This window comes from Homo sapiens, chromosome 19 (genome assembly GCF_000001405.40).
Source record: "Homo sapiens chromosome 19, GRCh38.p14 Primary Assembly".
NCBI classification, from domain to species: Eukaryota; Metazoa; Chordata; class Mammalia; order Primates; family Hominidae; genus Homo; species Homo sapiens.
This window is the reverse complement of record NC_000019.10, coordinates 39,916,744-39,944,685: the sequence shown is the minus strand read 5'-3', so window position 1 is coordinate 39,944,685 and position 27,942 is coordinate 39,916,744. Positions and strand designations below refer to the sequence as shown.

Here is a 27,942-nt window from a genome sequence, read left to right as displayed (position 1 = left end):
TTGTGATCCACCCGCCTCGGCCTCCCAAAGTGCTGGGATTACAGGCGTGAGCCGCCGCGCCCAGCCACTGTACCTTCTATCTCACTGTAACCTCTTCCTTTTAGTCTGGGTGCAGGGTACCTGGAGTCACAATAGCCCTAGGCATATAGTGGACCAGGTGAGGCAGGCCCTGGAAAGGCTAAAAACCTCCCTCAATTCTCTTGCTAATGTGGTGTTGGACAACTGCTAGGCCTTACCCTCCATAACTTGGGCCTTACCCTCCATAACTTGGTTCCTTCCTTTCTTAAGCCCTTATTAGCTATCTTTCTTCTTTTAATCTTTAAACCATGCTTCTTTAACCTGCTGGTAAAATTTGTGTCTTTCAGACTACAATAGTTTCATGTCAAGTTAATCATTGTGCAAGACTTCTAGGTTACTTATTAGCTGAACAGGAAGATGTTTGTACAGTCACCATACCTCCTGCTGCACTTGGATAAATACTACTGGGCGAGTAGAGGTTAACACCCAGGCAATTTACAATCAGGAAATTGGTTACACTCTTTTGATAAAGGAAGTCAACTTAGTGTACAATGCTGTCAGATGAACCTTACCCTTGTAAGGCTTGTAACTTGGTTCCTCCCTTTCTTAAGCCCTTATTGGCTATCTTTCTTCTTTTAATATTTAAAGTTTTTAATCTTTAAATTTTTAATTTTTAAACCATGCTTGTTTAACCTGCTGGTAAAATTCACGTCTTTCAGACTGTAATGCTTTCATGCCAAGTAAATGGTCTTGCCAGGCTTCCAGCCTGTTTCAGAGACCACTAGCCCAGAGCCGTATCAGCCCCTTCAGCAAGCCATAAGAAATTTCTACTCCTCCTGGAAATAGATGTAGAGACTATGTCCATGCTTAGCAGGAAGTAGTTCCAGAAGAGACCTTTGCTCCTTAAGAATAAGGAGAATGAGGACTGCGAAGGAGAACGCAGCAAGCCCAGGCGGCGGTGGAAAGGCTGGAGGACACACCTAAACATGTGGAATCCCAATGCCGGGCAGCCAGGGCCAAATCCATATCCCCCCAATATTGGGTGCCCTGGAGGTTCCAATCCTGCCCACCCACCACCTATTAATCCACCCTTTCCCCCAGGCCCCTGTCCTCCTCCCCCAGGAGCTCCCCATGGCAATCCAGCTTTCCCCCCAGGTGGGCCCCCTCATCCTGTGCCACAGCCAGGGTATCCAGGATGCCAACCGTTGGGTCCCTACCCTCCTCCATACCCACCGCCTGCCCCTGGAATCCCTCCTGTGAATCCCTTGGCTCCTGGCATGGTTGGACCAGCAGTGATAGTGGACAAGAAGATGCAGAAGAAAATGAAGAAAGCTCATAAAAAGATGCACAAGCACCAAAAGCACCACAAGTACCACAAGCATGACAAGCATTCCTCCTCTTCCTCCTCCTCTTCCAGCAGTGATTCTGACTGAATACAGGCCCTGGACCCTTCCCTCAAGTCCCACCAGTTCTGCTCTCCCATCAAGCTTCAGATGCCACGTTGTACTGGGGGAATGTAGCCCTTGTGCTCCCCACCCCCTACCTCCACCTGAGCCTCACCCTGCTGTTGAGCCCTGAGTGGCTAGGGGAAATAGGAAGAGGATTGCCATGGCCTGGCCATCTTGTTGCTGCTTGGAGAGATCATATAGCTAATGAATTAGGCAGGGGAGCTATTTTTTGAAGATGATGAACTAAATGTTGAAGACAAGTTTGAGATCTGTAAAATGTGATTTTTTACTTCCACTTATAATACTTGTGATTGGGGAGGTTTGTGGAAATTCAATTATGATGAAAAACCTCTATCTTTTTTGTAATGTTGGCATACTTGGGGGATTTAGTGGCAAATACATTCCCCAGCAGGCCTTTTGTTGGTTGCACTAACTGCAAGGTTGCTGGGAAGTAGAGTCCATTTGGTTGATGAGCTTTGACTGCGGTTTTGGAACCTTACCTCTCCTCCTTAGCCCAATATGCTGTCTCGGGTCCTATTCAAATAAAGTTATTTCTCCTGGTCTAAAAAAAAAAAAAAAAAAAAAAAGAATAAGGAGAATGAAATCTCTTGGCTGGGAGTGAGACAGCTGGCTGGCTTCCTATTTTGAGGTGGTTTAGTGAAAAAGAACAAAAGCCCCTTACTCAAGCTGTAGCTTGTCTGCAGCAGGATAATTAAGGAATCAGAGAGACCGTGGGGTTGAGGAGGAATTATTTAATTATTCAGGTGCACCGACCCAGTCAGATTAACATCCAAAGGACTGAGCCCTGAACAAAGAGTCAAGCTACCTTTTAAGCATTTCGTGGGGCTGGGGGAGATCTGTGCAGGGGGAAGCATATCACAGAAGTGAGAAACAAAGACAGTCATTCAATTGAGACATGCATTATATCATTTTTTTTTCAAGGAACAGCATGTTTTACGACTTGAGATTATCTGTCTAGTGATCTTACAGCTGCACAGCTAGAGAAACAGAGTCTTCACAATGCCTGGGAAAGGGAGAGATAAGGCTCACTAGCCATAGAAAAACAGGCAGTTAATTTTAAAGGACTCCAGCTCTTTCTCTTCCTCAGGGGGAATTGGGTTTTCTTACATACAACTAAGTTTTGCTTACACATTCTTTATTTCTTTTAATTCCTGTTCTATACCTAACCTCCAGCCAGTCAGCATCAGAGGCCCAAGAAGCTATTAACCACAAGTTCCTGCTTTAGGGGCTTAGGGACTTCCCCAGGAAGCCACAGGAACAGCTTAGGTTTCAACTTACAGTGATAATTTCCTTATTTCAATGCTAAAAATCATGCTCAGAGGTAGAGATTTAAAATGCCAATATTACATGCAATGTATGAAAAACCATGTTGAACCATTGTGCAGGCGCCAAGAAATCCCTTGTTAACACATGATGACAGGCACATCATGGCATCTGGACCCCTACAAGACAGATCGACTTGCTCCCTGTGGGGAGCAGCCTACCCTTTTCCTTTCACGGTGCTGACCTCCCTTCTGCACAAACGGAAACAAACTTTTTTTTTTTTTTCTCTTTAATACTGTGTCTGGTAATCTCACTTGATTTCTATCTTAGGAGACTACAACAAGCCAGGATGATGGTAACATCTCTGTCAAGATGACATAGATTTATTTTTCCTGGCTCCTCTCTGCTAAAAACCCTGGAATAACATAACAGACATTCTTAAGAGGACTCTGAAAGATAAAAAGAAGGAAAACTGACAAGGGCCTTAGAACTCGAGAAACATCTCAGTGGCCCAGCATCTCTCAATTTCCCACCCAACGACAGGACGTGGTCTAGATCCAGCATCTCCCCAGCCCCCTATCCAGCGGCAGAAAGCACCCAGGTAGGTGCTTTCCCCACCCTAGTGGATGGCAGAGATGAAGGAAGAGCCCTGCTGGCACCACGCAGCCCAGGGAAGTACTCTCCACCCTTTTGTGCCAGTGTCTCCTACTCCTAACGTAGCAGCACCAAGCAGGCCCCAAGAAAATGCTTTTAACCTCCATTGGTGGTACTAACAGGAATTGGGTATGAGCTCAACCAGCACCAGGCAAATGAAATAGACCGGAATAATAATGCAAGGGCTCTGAAAACTAAATTGTCATTGGAATCATAGCACACAAAAGTAGGCCAGGACCTGCATGCTAACCTAAAAACAGTGACTGCTAAAATGGAAGAGTTAAATAGGATCCAGGGTCTCCTCTCATAATACCAGAAATGTCCAGGATATAATTTAAAAATCATACATAATATGAACAACCAGAAAAATCACAACTTGAATGAGAAAAGCCAATCAACAATCTAACACTGAGATGAAAGATTTTAGAATTATCTGACAAAGATCTAAAGTAGCCATCATAAAAATGTTTCACCAAGCAAGTAGAAATTCCTTGCAAAGATGGGAAAGAAAAGAAAATCTCACCAAAGAAATGGAAAGTATGTTCTTAAAGAATCAAATGAAAATGATAAAACTGAAAAATACAATAACTAAAATAAAAACTCACTGGAAAGGCTCAAGAGCAGAGCAACTATGACAAAGGAAATAAGAAGTGAACTTGAAGATAGAACAATAAAAATTACCCAATCCAAAAAACAGAGAGACAATCAACTTTAAAAAAGAGAAACAGAAAATGACTAACAAGGGCTCAGAGAACCTGCAGGACAATTATAAAATAGCTAACATTTGTATTATCAGATTAACAGAAGGAGAAAAGAAAGTGGGGCTGAAAAATATTTGAAGAATAATGACCAAACCTTCCCAAATTTGGCAAAAGACATAAACCTACAGATGCAAGAAGCTAAACAGAATAAATCTGACGGATTCCATGCCAAAACACAGTATAACTAACTTATGAAAACAAAGGCAAACAATGAAACTATCTTGGAAGCAGCTAGAGAGGAATTATAAATTGTCTATAGGGAACACTGATCAAATGACAAAAAATTTCTTATCAAAAACCATGGAGAAGAAAGCCTGGAGCAATACTCTTCAAGTGCTGAAAGAAAATAACTATCTGCTGAGAATCTTTTTTTTTTTTTTTTTGAGACAGTCTCGCTCTGTCCTCCAGGCTGGAATGCAGTGGTGTGCTTTTGGCTCACTGCAACCTCCACCTCCCAGTGATTCTCCTGCCTCAGCCTCCCAAGTAGCTGGGACTACAGGCGCCCGCCACCATGCCCGGCTAATTTTTGTACTTTTATTAGAGACAGGGTTTCACCATGTTGGCCAGGCTGGTCTGGAACTCCTGACCTTGTGATCTGCCCGCCTCAGCACCCCAAAGTGCTGGGATTACAGGCGTGAGCCACTGTGCCCAGCCGAGAATCTTATATGCAGCAAAACTATCTACGGGGTATGAAGAAGAAATAAAAAGCTTTTAGATGAAGGAAGACTACAAGACTTTGCCGTCAGCAGAATTATTTTTAGAGAATGATTAAAGGAAGTTCTCCAAAGTCCAAATGATTACAGGAAAAGGCTCAGAACTTTAGAAAGGAAGGAAGAACAGCAGAATGGACAAAAATAGTGATAACTATAGCAGATTACCCTTCTCATGAGTTTTTAAAAATCGTAGTTGGTTGAAGCAAAAATTATAGTATTATCTGATGTCTATAGGAAGAGACAATACTTAAAATAGTTATATGTGTATACACACACACGCATATGTATAAGTGGGAGGGTAAAAGGATCTATATGGATGTAAAGTTTCAACACTTCAATCAAAGTGGTAAAATATTCATAAGTTGGATTATAATCAGTTACATATGTATATTGTAGTACTAGAGCAAGTGCTAAGAAAATTCTACAAATTATGTATTCGAAAATAATATGAATCAAAATGGAATGCTAAAAAATGCTCATGTAACTCACAGGAATGCAAGAAAAAATAAGAATGAGAAATGGAACAAATGGAAAATGAATATTAAAATGTTAATCTTAAGTCCAAACATATCAATAACTACTTTAAATGTAAATAGTCTATCTCCTTACATGAAATAAAAGGCCAGAGATTGGTAGAGTGGATTTAAAAAATGATCCAACTAGATACTGTCTCCAAAAAACTTTACTCCAAATATAACAACATAGGTAGGTTGAAAATAAAAGAATAGAAATATATATTAATTTTATTAATTTATGTTATTATAAATATAAATTTTAGGCTGGGTGCAGTGGCTCACCCCTGTAATCCCAGCACTTTGGGAGGCCAAGGCAGATAGATCACTTGAGGTCAGGAGTTCAAGACCAGCCTGGTCAACATGGTGAAACCCCGTATCTACCAAAAATACAAAAATTAGCCAGGCGTGGTCACAGGTGCCTGTAATCCCAGCTACTTGGGAGGCTGAAGCAGGAGAATTGCGTGAACCTGGGAGGCAGAGGCTGCAGTGAGCCGAGATCATGCCCTTGCACTCCAGCTTGGGCAACAGAGCGAGACTCTGTCTAAAAAATAAATAGATAAATAAATAAATAAATATATATATAATTTTAAATATAAATTTTTAAAAGGAAGGAAGTACTATATTAATACGAAAATACTTTCCTTCAGAGCGAAAAACATTGCTAAAAACAAAGGATCATTCTGCCAAGACATTGCAATCCTAAGGTATATGTACCAAACAACAGAGATTCAAGTACATGAAGCAAAAACTGATAGAGCTGAAAGGTGAAATAGACAAGTCCACAAATATAGTTGGAGAATTAAAAACGTCAGTCTCACCAAATTGATAGAACTACCAGGATAAAATATGTGAGAATATCAAAGAACTGAATAACAGCATCAATCAACAGGATCTAATTGATATTTATAGAATGCTCTATTCAACAATAGACAAATCCACAAATACATTTGGGAAATTCAAAGACTTGCTCTTGTTAGCAACAACAACAACAACAAAGAAGTAGTTCTTTCGTTTCATTGATTTTCTCATGTTCAGTTTTATTAATTTCTGCTCTTCATTATTTCCTTTCTTCTGCGTTGTGTTTGTTTTGGTCTTTTACTACTTTATTGTGTAAGAAGAGCTTAGAATATTGGTTTAAGAACTTTCCTCTTTCCTAATGTAAATATTTAATGCCATAAATTTCCCTTTAGCTATATCCCACATATTTTGAAATATCTTCTTTTCATTTTCATTTAATTCTATGTATTTTTGATACTTCCTCTTTGGCCCATGGATTATTTAGAAGTGAGTTGCTCAATATCCTTGTGAGTGGAGATTTTCCTGTTTTTCTGTTATTCATTTCAAGCTGATTCCATTATGGTCAGAGAACATCTCCTATAGAATTTCAATTATTATAGGCAGAGAGGAAGTGTGAATGTCAAATGTTAGAGGGAAGGAACTAGAGGCAAGTGGCAAATAATGGGTCATTGGAGAGTTTAACAAAACGTTCAGTGCTTATGGAAGTCGGATTGTGGGATCCAGAGCGTAAAGGAATTAAGTTAGAAATTGCCCGCAAGCCTGAATTTAGCTGGAGAGAGTAAATTCTCTTCCACTGTGCTCCAGTCTATAAAGCCAAGACTAGTCAGAGGGGCCCAGGGGTCTGGGATGGTATAGCCAGTGCCCATGCTGCAAGGAGACGGAAGCAGATAAGCAGGAAGAGGCCGAAAGGCTCAGGTACACAAATACCCTTGTTTGGGCTCAGAGCAAGGCTGCCAGTGGAGGGATGGATGCGATTTCTCTGACCATAAGGAAGTGTCCCCAGAGTTTATTTCCCGGGTCACCAAAGGGTTTCCTGAGAATTGATATAATACAGGGTAAAGCACAGGGGTGTACACACACACATACACACACACACACACACACACCCACACACACACCCACACACACACCACTTGGGCCTTAAAAGGAGTGAGAAAGAAGACCCAAGGGGATTGGCACATACAGAGTATTAATTTGTGAGATCTCCCACCACAACCACCCCATTTCTGGGGACTCTGGCTGTGGAGAGCGATGATGAATTTTGAAGGCAGGAAGCTTCTTTCTGTGATCAACCAGGGGAAACCCCAAGGCTTAGAGAGAATTGAGGGCCAGAAACACCCATGAAACTCACCCTGATTCTTTCCCTTCACCTCCCATTTGTCTCTGAGTGCCTCTAATTACAAGAGGCATATGGCACACAGAGGATTTTATTTTCTTTTTTCTTTTTCTCCCCAGGCCAGAATGCAGTGGCATGATCACGGCTCGCTGCAGCCTCAGACTCCTAGGATCAAGCAATCCTCCCACCTTAGCCTCCTGAATGGTGGAGACTACAGGTGCATGCCACCACACTCGGTTTATTTTTATATTTTTTGTAGAGAAAGGGTCTCACTATGTTGCCCAGGCTGGTCTTGACCTTGTGGCCTCAAGTGATCCTCCTGCCTCAGCCTCCCAAGTAGCTGGGACTACAAGCGTGCACCACCGTGCCTGGCTAATTTTTGTATTTTTTTGTAGATACAGGGTCTCACTATGTTGGTCTTGAACCAGGCTGGTCTCAAACTCATGGCCTTAAGCAATCCTCCTGCCTCAGCCTCCCAAAATGCTGGAATTATAAGCTGAGCCACTGCGCCTGGCCTCAGACAGAGAATTTTCACATCTTGGTTTGCAATTGCTGTTTCCTCCTAGGAATCCCGACGTCTCCTCCTCCGAGTCCTTCTCTGTCTCAGGGACCCAGCAGCCCCTTCCACCAACTTTTAGACCCCTCAGGGACCCAGGCATCCTTTTCCCAAAGCTTCCACTTCCTGTGGGTCCCCTGCCCCTGCTTGTTTCTTGTTATCTCTGGCTTTTAGCCAGTCTCCTATTTACTCACCTCATTCTCCTGGTTGACTTTATGTCCCAGTCAACTCTTAGCCTTTATCTTTCCCTCCAGGAACGTTTCTTGGGTGGGCGTGGGGATTGGTTGGAGCTCCAGGGAGAGAGAAGCCCCCCACCCGCTCTGGCCTCCCAGAGGCCCAGGCTGCTGTGATAAGAGAGGAGGAGCCCCAGGGGCAGCAGCTGCTAGGGTGTTGGTCCAAGAGAGCACCCAGGCTTTGCAGCTGCTGGTCCCAGGGGAGACTCCCCCAGCAAACAATGAGATCCTGAGTCAGGGAGAAGGCAGGCAGGGCATGGGTCAGGCCAGCCCCTCAGAGGAGCTGACTCCAGCTGAGAAAGCCCAACTTTCAGCTCATTCTTCTGCTCCTTGTGTGCAACCTAGACCTCCACCTCCCATCTCAGGCAAATTCTGGGGTGATGGAGAGGCACAGAGTCCCCTAAACCTGTTCAGCTAGCCCCTGCTAAGAGCAAACCCTCCCTACACACAAAAAAACTCCAAAACCAACAGGTCCTGGCTCTTCCTCAGTCCTCACAGGCTGGGGAGTCCCTGGCCACCTATATCCTGTTTCCAGCACCACTGAGGAGCAGGTGTCTGGGATCAGAAGTAGAATCTGGGTGTCTGTGTGGAACCAGGAAACAGAGGCCATTGTCCCTTCTTCACACACCGCCTCAGTCCCAGTGCCCACCTGCAGCCTGGCCTGCGCCCACACCAGAGGAGGCTGCCCCCCAGCTCTACAGTCCTTGAGAATTTTTTTACATCTCTGGGACGTAAAGATGCCCAGAGAGGCTGGTTTTGGTGTTCCCATTTTGCAGATGAGAAACCGCAGACGCCCCACTGGGCTGCGGTGGAGGTCTTGTGTCCCACTCCATAGCCTCAGACTCCTGCCCATCCCAGACACCTGCCCCTAGTGGTGTCTGGAAGCAGGATGTGGGTGGCTAGGGACTCCCCAGCCTGTGGGGACTGAGAAGGAACCAGGACCCGGATATGGGTCCCTCACTGTTGTTCCTGGCAGGAGCCAAAGGAAGGAACCTAGCCACTAAGCCAGCAAATATGACCACATGCCACCTCCCACCCTCACTGCCCACACCCCCACCCTACCCCACCTCCACCCAGGGACCCAGGTGCTCATCTGCCTGCTCCCCAGCTGTCTCCCTCAGGGACCCCACCCTTCCAGGACCAAACTCTCCAGAAGGCTTCCAGGGAATGGCCACCAGCTGTCCTCACTCCCTTCTTGGAACCCAGGCATCCAGAATCACTGTCCCTCCTTCCCAGGCCTTCACAGTTTCCCATTTCATCTGGCCATGAGGATGGCAGCCTCCTCCAGGAAGTTGGCATCATCTGCCTGGCACGTGGCCCAGGGTGTGGCCCAGAAACTCCACTATATAGCCCTGCCACAGGGCTGGCCCTGCAGCTCCAGGGACCTGCAGGTGAGAAGGGCTGGGGTCCCCTTTGGAAGTGGGACAGCAGGTCCCCTACTCTTGCCCCTGACTGTAGGCCTCCTCATCCTACCCCTAGACCCACAAGACAGCCAACTCTCCACCCCGTCCCTGGCTTCTGCCCTCCCCAACCCACCTCCAGACCCGCTGGACAGCCAGCCTCCCCTATACACACACACTGGTCCTTGGATCCATACCCCCTGGCCCAATCTGCCCGACTTCTTTCCCCACCTCAGCCTTCATGGTCCCAGGTGGCCCTTGTCATGAGAGTGGGCCCTTCTGCCCAGGACAGTCTCCAGCAGAGGCGGTGGATCAGCCTTCTATGATCCTTTCTCTTTTCCTACTGCAGCCATGGGTGCCCTATGGAGCTGGTGGATACTCTGGGCTGGAGCAACCCTCCTGTGGGGTAAGTCAGACCAAGACCCTCTCCATGTCCTTGTTCCAATCTGGGGAACTCTGCGTGGGTCCACGCCTTCCATGTGTGCCTCCTCCACATGTCACCCCAGGCTAGCTGAGACAGGAGAGAGGCCCTTAGGCTCTGCAGGGGGATGTGGTAGAATTCACCAATTCTCACCCTTTTCTGGATGGGAGCACAGGCAAAAACCTTAGTCCCCAAACTCAAGTGTGCAAGAACTTTCTTGGTTTTCTGCAACTCAACTAAGGTTTTGACTCTGAGCCTCATTCTGCTAAGTTGATGGAAAATTTCACGAAAGTCATTCTTGGAGGGTGTTGTCCCCACTTCTCCCAGGGATGTGTCCAGAACTAAAATTTTGGATAAAGCCAAAGTACTGGGGGGAGGATGGGATATGAGGACCCTCTCGTCACCAGTCAGCATCCATCTAGGTTACTTTTGAAATGTCCATTGTTCCTGATCCCCTGGCCCCCTGGGATATCCTTCAAAGCCCCCTTTATATGGAAGGTGGTCATTCCATAGCCCCCACACTCTCTTCAAGATTCCTTAGACCTCTCTCTCCTCAGCCCCAGGGACGCTCTTCCTAGTTGGGGGTGGTCAGAAGCCCCCACTGCCATCTATTTCTAGGAGACAATTCATTCACCCTTCCATAATCCCCTTCTTCTCTTTATCCCCTTTTCACAAACCCCCAAGTCCCATTATTATTATTATTATTATTATTATTATTATTATTATTTGAGATGGAGTTTCACTCTTGTTGCCTAGACTGGAGTGCAATGGTGTGATCTCAGCTAATTGCAACCTCCACCTCCTGGGTTCAAGCGATTCTCCTGCCTCAGCCTCCCTAGTAGCTGGGATTACAGGCGCCCCATGCCACCATGTCCGGCTAATTTTGCATTTTTAGTAGAGATGGAATTTCACCACGTTGGTCAGTCTGCTCATGAACTCCCGACCTCAAGTGATCCACCCGCGTTGGCTTCCCAAAGTGCTGGGATTACAGGCAAGAGCCACCGCGCCTGGCCCCCACAAGTCCTATTAAGACAAAAACCAGCTGGGTACAGTTGGTCACGTCTGTAATCCCAGCACTTCGGGAGGCTGATGCAGGAGGATCACTTGAGCCCAGGAGTTCAAGACCAGCTTGGGCAACAAAGTGAGACCCTGCCTCTAGAAAAAAATTAAAAAATGAGCCAGGCACACAGTGCGTGCCTGTGGTCCCAGCTATACCAGAAGCTGAGACAGGAGGATCCCTTGAGCCCAGGAGGTTGAGGCTGCAGTGTGTTGTGTTTAAGCCACTGCACTCCAGTTTGTAAAAAGATGGAAATCATACACTGGCAGCAGAGTACATCCACCTTGAGCCCCAAAGTGCTTAAAACAATTGTGGGTTGGAGATTTCACATGAAAATTCAGATAGCCACATTCTCTTTAAAAACAGAAAGAACGGCCAGGCGTGGTGGCTTACGCCTGTAATCCCAGCACTTTGGGAGACCGAGGCAGGTGGATCACCTGAGGTCAGGAATTTGAGACCAGCCTGGCCAACAGGGTGAAACCCCATCTCTACTAAAAATACAGAAATTAGCTGGGCGTGGAAACCGGGAGGCAGAGGTTGCAGTGACCCAGGATCGCGCCACTGCACTCCAGCCTGGGTAACAGAGTGAGACTCCATTTCAAAAGAAAAAAAAGAAAAAATACAAAAGTTAACTGTGCCTGGTGGCGCACACCTGTAGTCCCAGTACTCGGGAGGCTGAGGTGGTAGAATCACTCGAACCTGAGAGGCAGAGGTTGTGGTGAGCCGAGATCGTGCCACTGCACTCCAGCCTGGGTGACAGAGCGAGACTCCATCTCAGAAGAAAAAAAAAAAGAAAAACAGGAAGGTCTTACAATTTAAAAAAGCTCACATTCTTTCATTATAACAGGTGAAAGCTAGTACCAACAATCCACTTTTTTTTTTTTTACTAGTTTATATATTTTTAAAATTTTTAATTTTTATGGGTTTGCATTTATGGGGTACCTGTGATATTTTGATACAGGCATACAGTGTGTAATGATAAAATCAGGGTAACTAGGGCATCCCTCACTTCAAGCATTTGTCATTTCTTTGTGTTAGGAACATTCCAATTCCACTCTCAGTTATTTTAAAATATACCATAAATTATCGTCAACAATAGTCATCCTGTTCTGCTACCAAATACTAGATTTTATCTATTTTATCTAACTGTTTAACTGTATTTTTGTACCCATTAACCATATCTACTTATCCCCCAGTCCCCGCTACACTTTCCAGCCTGTGGTAATCATCGTAACCATCATTTTACTCTCTATTTCTATGAGTTCATCAGTTAAAAATTTTAAATTCCCATCTATGAGTGAGAACATGTGAAATTTGTCTTTCTATACTGGCTTATTTCACTTAACATCATGTCCTCCAGTTCCATCCATGTTGTTGCAAATGACAGGATCTCATTCCTTTTTTTTTTTTTTTTTTGAGACCGAGTCTCACTCTGTTGCCCAGGCTGGAGTACAGTGGCGCGATCTTGGCTCACTGCAACCTCCGCCTCCCAGGTTCAAGTGATTCTCGTGCCTCAGCCTCCCGAGTAGCTGGGATTACAGGTACATGCCACCATTCCTGGCTAATTTTTGTAGTTTTGGTAGAGACAGGGTTTCACCATGTTGGCCAGGCTCGTCTTGAACTCCTGACCTCAAGTGATCCACCTGCCTTGGCCTCCCAAAGTGCTGGGATTATAGGTGTGAGCCACTGTGCCGGGTGATCTCATTCTTTTTTATGGTGGATAATTCTCCATTGTTTGTATGTACCAAATTTCCTTTATCCACTCATCTGTTGATGGACACTTAGGTTGATTCCGTATCTTGGCTATTAGGAATAGTGCTGCAATAAACATGGGAGAGCAGATGTCTCTTACATATACTGACTTCCTGACTTGGAAGGAAAGGAATTGCTGGATCATACAGTAGTTCTAGTTTTAGTTTTCTGAGAAACCTTCATATTATTATCGATAGTGATTGTACTGATTTACATTCCCACCAACAGGGTAACAGGGTTCCCTTTTCTCCACATGCTCAGCAGCATTCATTACTGCCTTTCATTAGGATAAAAGCCATTTTAACTCGAGTGAGATGATATCTCACTGTGGTTTTAATTTGTGTTTCTCTGATGATTAGTGATGTTGAGCATTTTTTGATATACCTGCTGGCCATGTGTATGTCTTCTTTGAGAAATGTCTATTCAGATCTTTTGCCCATTTTAAAATCAGATTAATCCGGGCGTGGTGGCTCACGTCTCTAATCCCAGCACTTTGGGAGGCCGAGGCAGGCGGATCACTTGAGGTCAGGAGTTCGAGACCAACCTGGCCAGCATGGGGAAACCCTGTCTCTACTAAAAGTACAAAAATTAGCCGAGCATGGTGGCGCATGCCTGTAATCCCAGCTACTTGGAAGGCTGAGGCAAGAGAATCACTTGAACCCAGGAGGCGGAGGTTGCAGTTAGCTGAGATCGTGCCACTGCAGTCCGGCCTGGGGTGACAGAGTAAGACCCCATCTCAAACACACACACATACACACACACACACACACACACACACACACAAATCAGATTATTTGATTTTTTTCCTATTGAGTTGTTTGAGCTCCTTTTATATTCTGGTTATTAATCCCTTGTCAGTACCATCTAGAAATGCTACTGATTTTTGTATGTTGATTTTGTATCCTGCAAATTTAGTGAATTTGTTTATCAGTTCTAATAGCTTTTTGATGGCGTCTTTAGGTTTTTTTTAAATATCAGATTATATCATCTGCAAACAAGGATAATTTGACTTCTTTTTTTTTTTTTTCCAGTTTGGATGCCTTTATTTCTTTCTCTTGTCTAATTGCTTTAGCTAAGATGGGTTGTATATATTTTCTCTTATTCTGTCAGTTGTGTCTTCACTTTGTGGATTGTTTCCTTTGCTGAGCAGAAGCTTTTTAGGTTGATGTGATCCCATTTGTCCATTTTTCTTTGGTTGCCTGTGCTTTTGATGTATTACTTAATAAATTTTTGCCCAGACTAATGAACTGGAGAGTTTCCCAAATGTCTTCTTGTAGTAGTTTCGTAGTCTGAGGTCTTAGATTTAAGTCTTTAATCCATTCTGATTTGATTTTTGTATGTGGTGAGAGATAGGGGTCTAGTTTCACTCTTTGCATATGGATATCCAGTTTTCCCAGTACCATTTATCTTCAATAAATGCAATGTATGTTCTTGGGATCTTTGTCAAAAATGAATTCACTGTAGGTGGGTGGATTTGTTTCTGGGTTCTATGTTCTGTTCCACTGGTCCATGTGTTTGTTTTTATGCCAGTACCACACTGTTTTGGTTATTATAGTTTTGTAGTATAATGTGAAGTCAGGTAATGTGATTCCTCCAGTTTTGTTCTTTATGCTCAGGATGGCGTTAGCTATTCTGGGTATTTTGTGTTTCCACACAAATTTTGGGATTAGTCTTCTATTTCTGTGAAGAATGTCACTGGTATTTTTATAGAGATTGCATTGAATCGGTAGATTGCTTTGGTTAGTATGGACATTTTAACAATATTGTGTCTTCCAATCCATGAACATGGAATATCTTTCCATTTTTTTTGGTGTGTGTCCTCCTCCATTTCTTTCATTACTGTTTTATAGTTTTCATTGTAGAGATCTTTCATTTCTTTCGTTTATTCCTAGGTGTTTTATTTTATTTGTGGCTATTGTAAATGGGATTACTTTCCTTTTTTTTTTTCAGATTGTTTGCTGTAAGCATATAGAAATGCTACTGATTTTTGTATGTTGATTTTGTATCCTGCAAGTTTAGTGAATTTGTTTATCAGTTCTAATAGCTTCTTGATGAAGTCTTTAGGTTTTCTGTTTTTTTTGTTTTGTTTTTTGTTTTTTGTTTTTTGAGATGGAGTTTTGCTCTCGTTGCCCAGGCTGGAGTGCAATGGTGCCATCTCAGCTCGGTGCCATCTCAGCTCACTACCATCTCTGCCTCCCAGGTTCAAGCGATTCTCCTGCCTCAACCTCCCGAGTAGCTGGGATTACAGGTGTCTGCCACCATGCCAGGCTAATTATTTTTTTGTATTTTTAATAGAGACAGGTTTTACCACGTTGGTCAGGATGGTCTCAATCTCTTGACCTCTTCATCTGTGCAGCTCAGCCTCCCAAAGTGGTGGGATTACAGGCTTGAGCCACTGCACCCAGCCAAAGTTGTTTTTTTTTTTGAGACAGAGTCTTGCTCTGTCATCCAGGCTGGAGTGTGGTGGTGTGATCTTGGCTCACTGCAACCTCCACCTCCTGGGTTCAAGAGATTCTCTTGCCCCAGCCTCCCGAGTAGCTGGGACTACAGGCATGTGCAACTATACCCAGCTAATGTTTGGTTTTTTTTTAGTAGAGATTGGGTTTCGCCATGTTGGCCAGGCTGGTCTTGAACTCCTGACCTCAGGTGATCCACCCACCTCGGCCTCCTAAAGTGCTGGGATTATAGGCGTGAGCTACCAAGCCCAGCTGTCTTCAGGTTTTTCTAAATATAAGATTATATCATCTGCAAACAAAGATAATTTGAATGCCCTTTTTCCAGTTTGGATGCCCTTTATTTTTTTCTATTGTCTAAGTGGTTTAGCTAGGACTAACAATAATATGTTGAAGAATAGTGGTGAAAGTGGACATCCTTGCTGTGTTCCAGATCTTAGAGCAAAGGCTTTCAGTTTTTCCCCATTCAGTATGATACCAGCTGTGGGTCTGTTGTACATGGATTTCATCATGTTGGGGTGTGTTCCTTCCGTGTCTACTTTCTTGAGAGTTTTTATCACGAAAGGATGTTAAATTTTATCAAATGCTTTTCTGGCATCAATTGAAGTGATCACATAGTTTTTGTCCTTTATTCTGTTGATAAGATGTATCACACTGATGGATTTGCATAAGCAACAACCCACTTTAGATGGTATAGGAGTGCTTCAGTTCCACAGTCGCCCCTCCGGGACTGTTTCACACATTTATATTTCTTGCCTGGCCCCATCAGCATTGGAGTTTGAGGGCCCTGTCTAAGGTGTTTAGATTTTTGAAAAACAAAAGCCAGGAAGGCTTGTAGACGAAAGCTGCATGAATCAGAAGAAAGGAAAGAGAAGGGTGGTGGGGGAAAGCCCAAGTTAATACTTCAACATGTTTCTGGGTGCAGAGCAAAAGTGGGGAGGATTGGATAAGTGGACCCACAACTGTATTTTCTCAACCAGGATTGACCCAGGAGGCTTCAGTGGACCTCAAGAACACTGGCAGAGAGGAATTCCTCACAGCCTTCCTGCAGAACTATCAGCTGGCCTACAGCAAGGCCTACCCCCGCCTCCTTATCTCCAGTCTGTCAGAGAGCCCCGCTTCAGTCTCCATCCTCAGCCAGGCAGACAACACCTCAAAGAAGGTCACAGTGAGGCCCGGGGAGTCGGTCATGGTCAACATCAGTGCCAAGGCTGAGATGATAGGCAGCAAGATCTTCCAGCATGCGGTGGTGATCCATTCTGACTATGCCATCTCTGTGCAGGCACTAAATGCCAAGCCTGACACAGCGGAGCTGACACTGCTGCGGCCCATCCAGGCCCTAGGCACCGAGTATTTTGTGCTCACACCCCCCGGCACCTCAGCCAGGAATGTCAAGGAGTTTGCCGTGGTGGCCGGTGCCGCAGGTGCCTCGGTCAGTGTCACGCTGAAGGGGTCAGTGACATTCAATGGCAAGTTCTATCCAGCAGGCGATGTCCTAAGAGTGACTCTACAGCCCTACAATGTGGCCCAGCTACAGAGCTCAGTGGATCTCTCGGGGTCAAAGGTCACAGCTAGTAGCCCCGTGGCTGTCCTCTCTGGCCACAGCTGTGCGCAGAAACATACGACCTGCAACCATGTGGTTGAGCAGCTGCTACCCACGTCTGCCTGGGGCACCCACTATGTAGTACCCACGCTGGCCTCCCAATCTCGCTATGATTTGGCCTTCGTTGTGGCCAGCCAGGCCACAAAGCTGACCTACAACCATGGGGGTATCACTGGCTCCCGTGGGCTCCAGGCAGGTGATGTGGTAGAGTTTGAGGTCCGGCCATCCTGGCCACTCTACCTGTCTGCAAATGTGGGCATCCAGGTCCTGTTGTTTGGCACAGGTGCCATAAGGAATGAAGTGACTTATGACCCCTACCTGGTCCTGATCCCAGATGTGGCGGCCTACTGCCCAGCCTATGTGGTCAAGAGTGTACCAGGCTGTGAGGGCGTGGCCCTGGTAGTGGCACAGACGAAGGCTATCAGCGGGCTGACCATAGATGGGCATGCAGTGGGGGCCAAGCTCACCTGGGAGGCTGTGCCAGGCAGTGAGTTCTCGTATGCTGAAGTGGAGCTCGGCACAGCTGACATGATCCACACGGCCGAGGCCACCACCAACTTGGGACTGCTCACCTTCGGGCTGGCCAAGGCTATAGGCTACGCAACAGCTGCTGATTGCGGCCGGAGTAAGTAATGGAAATGTCCCCTGGTCCTGTCCACCTGGTGACCGCTTTTCCACCCACCTACTCCTCTGTGGCTTTCGGGATCCTGATTGTCCTCCCCTCACTTCTCTTCTCCGCGACATCCTTCCTCAAGTCTTCTCAGCCCCTCCCATCCGCCCAGAAACAATATTCTAAATATTTAGCAACCAGGGAGAGCTGGGGCACTACCAGTCAGAAGAGACAGCAGCCAAAGCACTGTGACAGGGTCCTGAAGCCCCCATCATGCTGGCATCAGCCCCTGTCTGTTGGTTTGTTCTGGAAAGGGCCCTAGGGGAGAGCCAGGGTGCTGAGAAGGAGGGATCTTTGGGGTTGTGGGGGACAGTCAGGTCAGCAGCTTCTCACCAACCAGTTTGGAAATATTTTGATATTTTAGCAACTGACATAGCCACACCAGTTGCTAAGCCACTCTCCACACCTCATGTAGGAATGTTGATACCCAAACTTAGGAGATCTAAATGTATGATAATAAGATGACTACGCGTTGGGGAGGGGAGTATCTTGCAATCTTTCTAGGTGTTTCACGTGTTTTTGACACAGTTAATGTATATGACCTGGCAGTTTGTGTGACCTCAGGCTCAGCCCATGAGACGCTGTCAGTGTAGTGCAGGGTCCCAGGGTTCAAATCCCAGCTCTGCTGTGTGATCTTGGACAAGTGACTTCATCTCTCTGGGCTTCAGTTTCCACATCTGTAAAATGGGGATAACTGTTTCTCCCTCAAAACTTTGTTTTAGAGACAGGGTGTCACTCTGTCACTCGGGCTGGAGTGCGGTGGTGTGATCACAGCTCACCGTAGCCTCGAACTCTTGGACTAAAGCAATCCTCCCTCAGCCTCCCAAGTAGCTGAGACTATAGGCATGCACCACCACACCCAGCTAATTTTTAATTTATATTTTGTAGAGATAGGGTCTTTCCATGTTGCCCAGGCTGGTCTCAAATTCCTGGGCTCAAGCGATCCTCCTGCCTCAGCCTCTCAAAGGGCTGGAATTACAGGCCTGAGCCACCACACCCAGCTGCAAAAACTTTTGAGGACTGGGAGGCAGATGGAGGAAAGCTGTTTCTTCCCATGTAGTCCCTGCCACGCTAAGACTCTGGCATTCCTGGACCTGGCAAAAATGCCCCTCCCCTCCCCTCCAAGGCATGGAAGCCACCCAACTTCAAGGAGCCACTTTGGGCTTGAGAAATAGAATGAGGGAGCGGTGGGTGATTAATTATAATGGGTAACACTCCACTTAACACGTAGGTTCAGTTCTAAAGCTTTCTCGAGTTTTAGCTTATTTAATCCTAACACCCCCCACCAAGATCCCTACGAAGGAGGTATTATTATCACCCCCATGTTACAAATGAGGAAACTGAGGCAGAGGGAGTTTAAAACCACTTGCCCAGTGTCTCAGAGCCAGTTGGTTGAGCCAGGATTCCTACCTAGGCGGCCTGACTCCATAGTCCTTTTCATCCTGCTGAAGGCTGTCTTCCATTTTCTGTCCTTAAAAAAATCCCTTAGCTCTTTTTGACCCTGGAGGGAAGGTAGGGAAGAGGGGAAAAGGGGGAGAGAAAAACACAAATTAACATTTTAATGACCGTTTCTGCCTTTTCTTATTTACTGCCTTCCCTTCTTCTAGGCTGCCCTGTGTTAAACTGGAGAATCAGAAAACATGGGGCTCTCAGAGAGGCCTGAGCAACTCTCTCCCTGTGGGGTTCCAGACCTCGGTTTCCCCACCTTTAAAATGGGCAAAAATGGGCAAAAATGGGCAGTTGTGAGCGAATTGCTCAAGCTTCCCCGGCAAGGTGGGCTCCAGGATGCCTCCCTCTGAGGCCTGAGGCGGTTTCTTCCTTCTTCCTTCTTCTTCCCTCCTCCTCCTCCTCCTCTTCCTCCTCCTCCCCCTTCCCTCTTCTTCTTCTTCTTCTTCTTCTTCTTCTTCTTCTTCTTCTTTCTTCTTTCTTCTTCTTCTTCCTCTTCTTTCTTCTTTTTTTCTTTGTGAGACAGAGTCTCACTTTGTCACCCAGGCTGGAGTGCAGTGGTGCCATCTCAGCTCACTGCAACCTTCGCCTCCTGGGGTCAAGAGACTCTCCTGCCTCAGCCTCCCAAGTAGCTGGGATTACAGGCATGTGCCACCATGCTCTGCTAATTTTTGTGTTTTTAATGGAGATGGGGTTTCACTATGTTGGGCAGGCTGGTCTCGAACTCCTGACCTCAAGTGATCCGCCCCCCTCACCTTGGCCTCCCAATGTGCTGGGATTACAACCCCGCGGACACTTCTGATTCTCTCTTTTCACCGTTCCCTTCCCTCCCCAGCTGTACTGTCCCCAGTGGAGCCCTCCTGCGAAGGCATGCAGTGCGCAGCCGGGCAGCGCTGCCAGGTGGTAGGCGGGAAGGCCGGGTGTGTGGCGGAGTCCACCGCTGTCTGCCGCGCCCAGGGCGACCCCCATTACACCACCTTCGACGGCCGTCGCTACGACATGATGGGCACCTGTTCGTACACGATGGTGGAGCTGTGCAGCGAGGACGACACCCTGCCCGCCTTCAGCGTGGAGGCCAAGAACGAGCACCGGGGCAGCCGCCGCGTCTCCTACGTGGGCCTCGTCACTGTGCGCGCCTACAGCCACTCTGTGTCGCTGACCCGCGGTGAAGTTGGCTTCGTCCTGGTGAGTACCTGGGGGCTTTGGGGGGTTAACATCCATGAGCTGCGGGTCCGAAGGCGGAGGCAAAGCCCAATGGCCGACCTCAAACCAGGGTGCAGGGAAGTGGGCCATGGAGTTGGAGGGTGGGGAGGCGGATTTGAAAATCAGTAGCAGGACCTTAGAACCCTGCCCTCCAGCCATCCCACGTCTAGAAATTTAAAGGATATTCAGAGACAGAGACTGGGGGGTAACATGCCAACATGGTTTATAATAGCATAAAACAAAAACAAACAAACAAAAAATTATCCAGCAATGGGGGATTTACGTTGACCAAATAACTAAATTTAATGAGCACCTGCTATGCACCAGATATGTTTCTTAGCACTTTTCTCATCTTAACGAATTTAATGCTCACAAACTCAGTGCAGGAGGCATTATTATTATGAACATGTTCAGATTGGGAAACTGAGGTTGAGATAGGCTAGTGACTTCCCCAGGGCTCAGAGCTAGTAAGAGGTGGAGCTAAGGGCACAGGCATGCTGGCTCTGGAGTCCTTGTTCTTAATCCCTCAGCTGTCCTGACTCTGGTAAATGCATTTCTATTCAGTTCATATGAATAACAGCAGCCTAGAGCAATTACTTCCTTTTTCTCGCCATGTTATTATGAAAATATTAAAATGTCCAAAGTTGAAATTCTTATACAGTGAATGCTCATATGCCAATCGCCTAGAGTTTTCTTTCTTTCTTTCTTTCTTTTTTTTTTTTTTTTTTGAGATAGAGTCTTGCTGTGTCACCCAGGATGGAGTGCAGCGGCAGGATCAGGTTCAAGCGATTCTCCTGCCTCAGCCTCCCGAGTAGCTGGGATGACAGGCATGTGCCGCCATGCCCAGCTAATTTTTGTATTTTTGTAGAGAGGGGTTTCACCATGTTGGCCAGGCTGGTCTGGAACTCCTGGCCTCAACTGATCGGCCTGCCTCAGCCTCCCAAAGTGCTGAGATTACAGGTGCCAATCATCTAGATTCTAAACACTGTACTCTTCTTGATTGATCACACACTGATCCATCGGTTCATCCCTCTGTCCATTCCACAATCTCTCTTATTTTTTATGCACTTCAAAGTTCCAGACATGAGTACATATCACCCAAAAGACTTCACCATGTCATTAACTAGAATATAATATTTTCACACTTCTTTTGGCTGATTTTGGAGGTGAAATTTATATATAACAAAAATCACAAATCTTAACTGTATAGTTCACCTTTGGCAAATGTGTAACCAAATTGCCCATTAAGATACAGAATATTTTTATCACCTGGGAAAATTCCCTCATGTGCCTTACCAAACAGTCCCCAACCTACTCCTGGAGATGATCACAATTCTGATTTTTTTTTTCCAGCATAGATTAGTTTTGCCTGTTCAATAACTTCAGGGCCAGGCGCAGTGGCTCATGCCTATAATCCCAGCACTTTGGGAGGCCTAGGTGGGTGGATCACTTGAGGTCAGGAGTTAGAGACCAGCCTGGTCAACATGGTGAAACCCCATCTTTAGTAAGAGTACAAAAATTAGCTGGGCGTGGTGGCGCATGCCTGTAATTCCAGCTACACGGGAGGCTGAGGCAGGAGAATCGCTTGAACCTAGGAGGCAGAGGTTGTAGTGAGCCAAGATTGCACCACTGCACTCCAGCCTGGGTGACAGAGTAAGACTCTGTCTCAAAAAAAAAAATAAATAAATAAAATATATATATATATAGAGAGAGAGAGTATATATGTGTATATATATATATATACATATATACACACACATATATACATGTATATGTGTATATATATGTTGTGTTCTCTACTTTGCTTTTTGCATTTAGCAATACATTCTGAAACAGTTTCTCTATCAACAGTTTCTCTATCAGCCTCTATTTTTTTTTAACATCTGCACAATTCTTTATATGGATATGAACACCATGGTTCATTCAACCAGTCCCCTGTGGATGGACACATTGTTCACTATTACAAACAATACTGCAATGAATATTTTTTTGATTTTTTTTTTTTTGAGACAAGGTCTTGCCCTGTTGCCCAGGCTGAAGTGCAGTGGTGTGATTATAGCTCACTTCAACCTCAAACTCCTGGGCTCAAGCAATCCTCCAGCCTTGGCCTTCCAAGTAGCTGGGACTACAGTCTCATGCCACTATACTGGGCTAAGTATTTTTATTTTTAGTAGAGATAAGGTCTTGCTATGTTGCCCAGGCTAGTCTCGAACTCCTGGTCTCAAGTGATCCTCCCACCTTGGCCTCCCAAAGTTCTGGGATTAGAGGCGTAAGCCCCTGTATCTGACCTGAAATAAATATTCTTGTACCTCCCTGATTTTGTGAGTGTGCAGGTAGATCTCTGCGATTAATAATCAGTTGGTGAAAGGAGGTGTTCTTCAGCCCTGGAGGGGTTGAGCACAAGTTCAGGCGGACTTCAGATCCCTTGAAATTATATACAGAATTTTATACCTCTCTCTGAAAACTACTTTTTATTTTTTTTGAGACGGAGTCTCGCTCTGTTGCCCAGGCTGGAGTACAGTGACGTGATCTCGGCTCACTGCAACCTCCGCCTCCTGGGTTCAAACGATTCTCCTGCCTCAGCTTCCCGAGTAGCTGGGACTACAGGCACATGCCACCACGCCCGGCTAATTTTTTGTATTTTTAGTAGAGCTGGGGTTTCATTGTGTTAGCCAGGATGGTCTTGATCTCCTGACCTTGTGATCCGCCCAACTCGGCTTCCCAAAGTGTTGGGATTACAGGCATGAGCCACCGCACCCGGCCTTTCATTTTTTTTTCCGTCAGATCCTCACAGAGGTCAGTGACTTGACAAAGGTGCAGAGCTACTGTCAGAATCATAGTAGGATACTCACAAGACATTGTTAGGAGAGGAGTTAATGAAATAGTGACTTCAGCATGGTCTTTTTTTTTTTAAGTGTAAATATATCTAAAGGTAGGAAAAAACTCAACAGGATCTATACATTTGTATGTGTCTGCCTACAGGGTGATTTTCTTTTCTCATTTTTGCTCCTGTGCATTTTCAGTTTTCTGTAATGAACGAATATTATTTGTGTCATTTAAAAATGGAGATTGGCTGGGCATGGTAGCTTACGCCTGTGATCCCAGTACTTTGGGAGGCTGAAGCTGGAAGATTACTTGAGCCCAGAAATTTGAGACCAGCCTGGGCAACATAGGGAGACCCTATCTCTACCAAAAAAAAAAAAAAAAAATAGCTGGGTGTGGTGGCGCCTGCCTATGGTCCCAGCTACTTGGGAGGCTGAGGCAGGAAGATGGCTTGAGCCCAGGAGGTCGAGGCTGCAGTGAGCTATGATGCTGCCACTACACTCCAGGCTGGGTGACAGAGCAAAACTGTCTCAAAAAAATACATAAATAAAAAAATAGAAAAATTAAAATGGAGATCACTGGACTTAGGGGAGAAACAGATTTGAGCAGCCATGCTGGACTGAGAGCTCTGAGCATGGGGCCATGGCCTGTCTCCATCACTGCAGTGTCTAAAGCACCAGCTGGCACAGAGCAGGCCACACAGTGGGACTCACAGAAGCTTTGCTGGGAGCCGGAATGAGTGAATGCTCTGTCTTCCTTCTGGGCCATTGCTCATGCTGTCCTCTCTCCTGTTGCTCCTTTTATCATATTCCATCCTCTTGGCTAAGACTTCTCCACTTCAAGTCTCAGCTCTGGCACAGCTCAGAGAATGTGTAAGGAAAGAGTAAGAAAGAGATGCCCAGGCTGGGTGCGGTGGCTCACACCTATAATCCCAGCACTTTGGGAGGCCGAGGTGGGAGGATTGCTTGAGCCATGAGCTCCAGACCAGCCTGGACAACATAGTGAGACCCCCATATCTAATTTAAAAAATTTTTTTATTAATTAAAAAAAAAAAAGGCTGGGTACGGTGGCTCATGCCTGTAATCCCAGCACTTTGGGAGGCTGAGCAGGGGTGGGCAGATCACTTGAGGTCAGGAGTTCAAGACCAGTCTGGCCAACATGGTGAAACCCTATCTCTACTAAAAATACAAAAATTAGCTGGACGTGGTAGCAGGCACCTGTAATCCCAGGTGGGAGAATCACTTGAACCTGGGAGACAGAGGTTGCAGTGAACCGAGATCGTGCCAATGCAGCCCAGCCTTGGTGACAGAGCAAGATTCCATCTCAAAAAAAAGATGCCCCAGGGCACAGAGAGACATAGTTCTTATCTCCTGGTTCTTAGTCAGACTTCAGGCTTCTCCAGAGCCTGGGAGGCTTATAAACAACACAACCTCGTCTCTGTGTTCTGGAGGCTGGAAGTCCAAGATGAGGTCACCAGCACTGCCAGGTTCAGGTGAGGGTGCTCTTCCAGGTTGCAGATGGCCTACTTCTCCTTGTATCCTCACACGGTGGAAAGCGGATCTGAGAGCTCTCTGAGGCCTCTGTCATAAGGGCACTAATCCCATTCATGAGGGTGCCACCCTCATGACCTAATCACCTCCCAAAGGCCTCCCCCCACTCTTAATACCATCATGTTGGGTGTTAAGATTTCAACATCCCTGACCAGCAAGGTTAGATCTGGCCATTTTTCTAGGTTTTCACAGCCTCCTATCTCCCCACTATCCCAGCTCTGAACCCTCAGCCTGTACCTCCCCTATCCCATCCTTGACCCCTCTGCCTGGGCCTTTCTGATCCTGGCCTTGACTTTTCTGCCTGTGCTTCTCCCATCTCTGCCCTGACCCCTCTGAGCTCTCACTGTCTGGTGATGTGTCTGTTTCTCCCAATGGACTGGGAGCCCCATGAGGGTAGGGCTTGGGGCTGTCTCCGCCACCTTCGTATTCCCAGGATCTCCCAGCTCAAGGCCAGGCACAGAGTGAGTGCCCAGTGAATGTTTATTAAATGCAGCAGTGACTTAATTCACTTAGTGAGTGCCTGGGATTCTACCAGGCCCTGTTCTATGCACTGGGGATAAAGCAGTGATCAAAGCAGACCCAAACCCTTGTCTTTGTGGAGCTGCCATTCTGATGGAGTAAGACAGATGATAAACATGGTCAATTTGTGAATTATATTTCAGAAGGCCAGATGCTATAGAAAAAAAAGGAAAGCAGGGAAGGAGGCTATGGAATAGGGAGAGGCTGCCTTTTTTTTTTTTTTAGACAGAGTCTCACTCTGTTTGGCACGATCTTGGCTCACTGCAGCCTCCACCTCCTGGGTTAAAGCAATTCTCCTGCCCCAGCCAACTGAGTAGCTGGGATTACAGGCGTGCCCCACCACACCCAGCTAATTTTTTTATTTTTAGTAGAGACAGGGTTTCACCATGTTGACCAGGCTGGTCTCAAACTCCTGACATAAAGTGATCCACCCGCCTCAGCCTTCCAAAGTGCTGGGATTACAGGTGTGAGTCACTGCGCCCGGCCCAAGGCTGCCATTTAAAAAGGGGTGTAGGCTGGGTCCCATGGGTCATGCCTGTAATTCTAGCACTTTGGGAGGCTGAGGCAGGAGGATTGCTTGAGGCCAGGAGTTGAGATCAGCCTGGGCAACATAGCAAGACCTCATCTCTATAAAACAAAACAAAACAAACAAACCATAAAATAAAATCATAAAATAGGGCAGTCAGGGAAGGCTTGAGTCAGTGACGTTTGAGCACATACTCTTTTTCTATATTCTCCTATTTAAAACTTTTAATTAAAAAGTACTTTAATGAGGGCTGGAGGCCAGATGGCACAGGGGCCTGACCACCTCCTCTTCACCCACTCTGCAGGTTGACAACCAGCGCTCGCGCCTGCCAGTCTCCCTGAGTGAGGGTCGCCTGCGTGTGTACCAGAGCGGACCACGGGCCGTGGTGGAGCTGGTCTTTGGGCTGGTGGTCACTTATGACTGGGACTGCCAGCTGGCACTCAGCCTGCCTGCACGCTTCCAAGACCAGGTGTGCGGGCTGTGTGGCAACTATAATGGTGACCCAGCAGACGACTTCCTCACGCCTGACGGGGCTCTGGCTCCTGACGCTGTGGAGTTCGCAAGTAGCTGGAAGCTGGATGATGGGGACTACCTGTGTGAGGATGGCTGCCAGAACAACTGTCCCGCCTGCACCCCAGGCCAGGCCCAACACTATGAGGGCGACCGACTCTGTGGCATGCTGACCAAGCTCGATGGCCCCTTCGCTGTCTGCCATGACACCCTGGACCCCAGGCCCTTCCTGGAGCAGTGTGTATATGACCTGTGTGTGGTCGGTGGGGAGCGGCTCAGCCTGTGCCGTGGCCTCAGCGCCTATGCCCAGGCCTGTCTGGAGCTTGGCATCTCGGTTGGGGACTGGAGATCACCAGCCAACTGCCGTGAGTGATGCCCTGGGTGGGGGCTGGGAGCATACAGTGAGGGGCAGGAGATCCCTAGCATCTGCTTAATATCTGAGAAGTTATTATGGTTCAGCCTGGTGCTGGGCAATGCCAGGGGCCTAGTGATGGCCAAGACAGCCAGCTCTGTCCACAATGAGCCTAAGGTTGGAGAGACGTTTCACTAGACATTGACAGTCTGGAGGGGTCCAGGCAGGATGGGGAGGCCCACTCGGATGGGTTGGGGCCAGGATGGGAGAGAGACAGGCAGATGAGTCAGGGCTGGGATTGCGGGGGACACAGGCAGAGGGGTTGGGGCCAGGATGGAGGAAGTCAGTGGGGCTATGGGAAACCAGAGGAGGTTCCTGGCCCAGCCTGGGGAGCAGGGGTGGTCAGGGAGGGTTTTCTAGAGAAAGATGTCCAATTTGAAACCCATAAGAGGGGCTGGAAGTTGCCAAGAGAAAGAGGAGGAAGTGAGTTGCAGGCCCAGAGAACAGCATGCTCAAAGGCTTGGCAGGACGGGAATTCTTGTCTGCAGAATCCCAACACAGAGACGTGACGTCTCTTCCTTTGCCTATAGCCCTCCCATGACTCCCATTGCCCTCTAGATAAAGTCCAGGCTCTTTAGCCAGGTGTCCGTCTGCTTAATCGTTCACTCATTCATTCCACAAGCATTCCTTGAACCCCTGCCTGCCCCCTGTGCATGCTAATGATATTGAAGACACAGTGAAGACCAGCATAAATCTATTCCTGCCCTTGTGAGTGAGGCTCCTAGAGACATGTCCCAGAGGCAGAAAGGACAGGTAGGAGGGAGGAAGAGGCATCCAGGCCCAGGCCCAGAGGGAGGGGGAGTAAGTACAGGGCAGACATAGAGGCCACTAGGTGTTTGTCTTGGCCAGTTCTGTGTCCCCACTGCCCAGTAAGCACCCCCCCAACCCCATGCCTGGCGCAAAATAGGAATCAGAGAGTTCATTTATTCTCCCTTTCACTTCTGCAGTATTTCCTGAGCACCTGCTGCGTACCAGGCCCTGTCCTTGGTGCTGGGGACTCAGCAGTGATTGAGACAGATCAGGTCCCCACTCCCGCAGAACTTCTCTCTTAGCGGCAGGGGAGGGACACAGACAGTGAGCAGATGAACTAGGAAGTATCTTCAGAGAGGCAAAGAAACAAGTTCATTCAATGACAGTGACTGTGAGGCTCGTGAAGAGGGTGATCAGGGAAGGCCTTTCTGGGCAGGTAACATTGGAGCTGAGACCAGGGTCAGGCAATGGAGTCAGCTAAGTACTAACTAACAGTGATGTCCACAGAATGTTTCCCCATAGATCAACTCA

General features: G+C 46.8%; 1 protein-coding gene and 1 pseudogene across 1 annotated transcript in view, besides 4 other annotated features; both read left to right on the top strand.

The window, feature by feature from the left end:
- Positions 704-1,204: an enhancer, noted in NCBI's record as "H3K4me1 hESC enhancer chr19:40449389-40449889 (GRCh37/hg19 assembly coordinates)". NCBI's record gives its function as "activates a minimal SCP1, AML or CMV promoter by ChIP-STARR-seq in primed H9 embryonic stem cells {active_cell/tissue: H9 hESC(primed)}" and the evidence as "EXISTENCE:reporter gene assay evidence [ECO:0000049][PMID:30033119]".
- PRR13P5 (proline rich 13 pseudogene 5) lies at positions 934-2,030 on the top strand (annotated as a pseudogene).
- Positions 2,748-2,837: an enhancer, noted in NCBI's record as "active region_14633". NCBI's record gives its function as "activates an Ori minimal core promoter by ATAC-STARR-seq in GM12878 lymphoblastoid cells {active_cell/tissue: GM12878}" and the evidence as "EXISTENCE:reporter gene assay evidence [ECO:0000049][PMID:35858748]".
- Positions 2,938-3,017: an enhancer, noted in NCBI's record as "active region_14632". NCBI's record gives its function as "activates an Ori minimal core promoter by ATAC-STARR-seq in GM12878 lymphoblastoid cells {active_cell/tissue: GM12878}" and the evidence as "EXISTENCE:reporter gene assay evidence [ECO:0000049][PMID:35858748]".
- The window catches only part of FCGBP (Fc gamma binding protein), a gene marked incomplete in the record, with an annotated part of 71,312 nt that continues 53,421 nt past the window's right edge, over positions 10,052-27,942 (top strand). Inside the window, 4 exon segments of the mRNA NM_003890.3 lie at positions 10,052-10,122; positions 16,380-17,627; positions 19,954-20,303; positions 26,044-26,614. Of these exon segments, the coding sequence (NP_003881.2) occupies positions 10,068-10,122; positions 16,380-17,627; positions 19,954-20,303; positions 26,044-26,614 (2,224 nt within the window).
- Positions 16,861-17,362: an enhancer, noted in NCBI's record as "H3K4me1 hESC enhancer chr19:40433231-40433732 (GRCh37/hg19 assembly coordinates)". NCBI's record gives its function as "activates a minimal SCP1, AML or CMV promoter by ChIP-STARR-seq in naive H9 embryonic stem cells {active_cell/tissue: H9 hESC(naive)}" and the evidence as "EXISTENCE:reporter gene assay evidence [ECO:0000049][PMID:30033119]".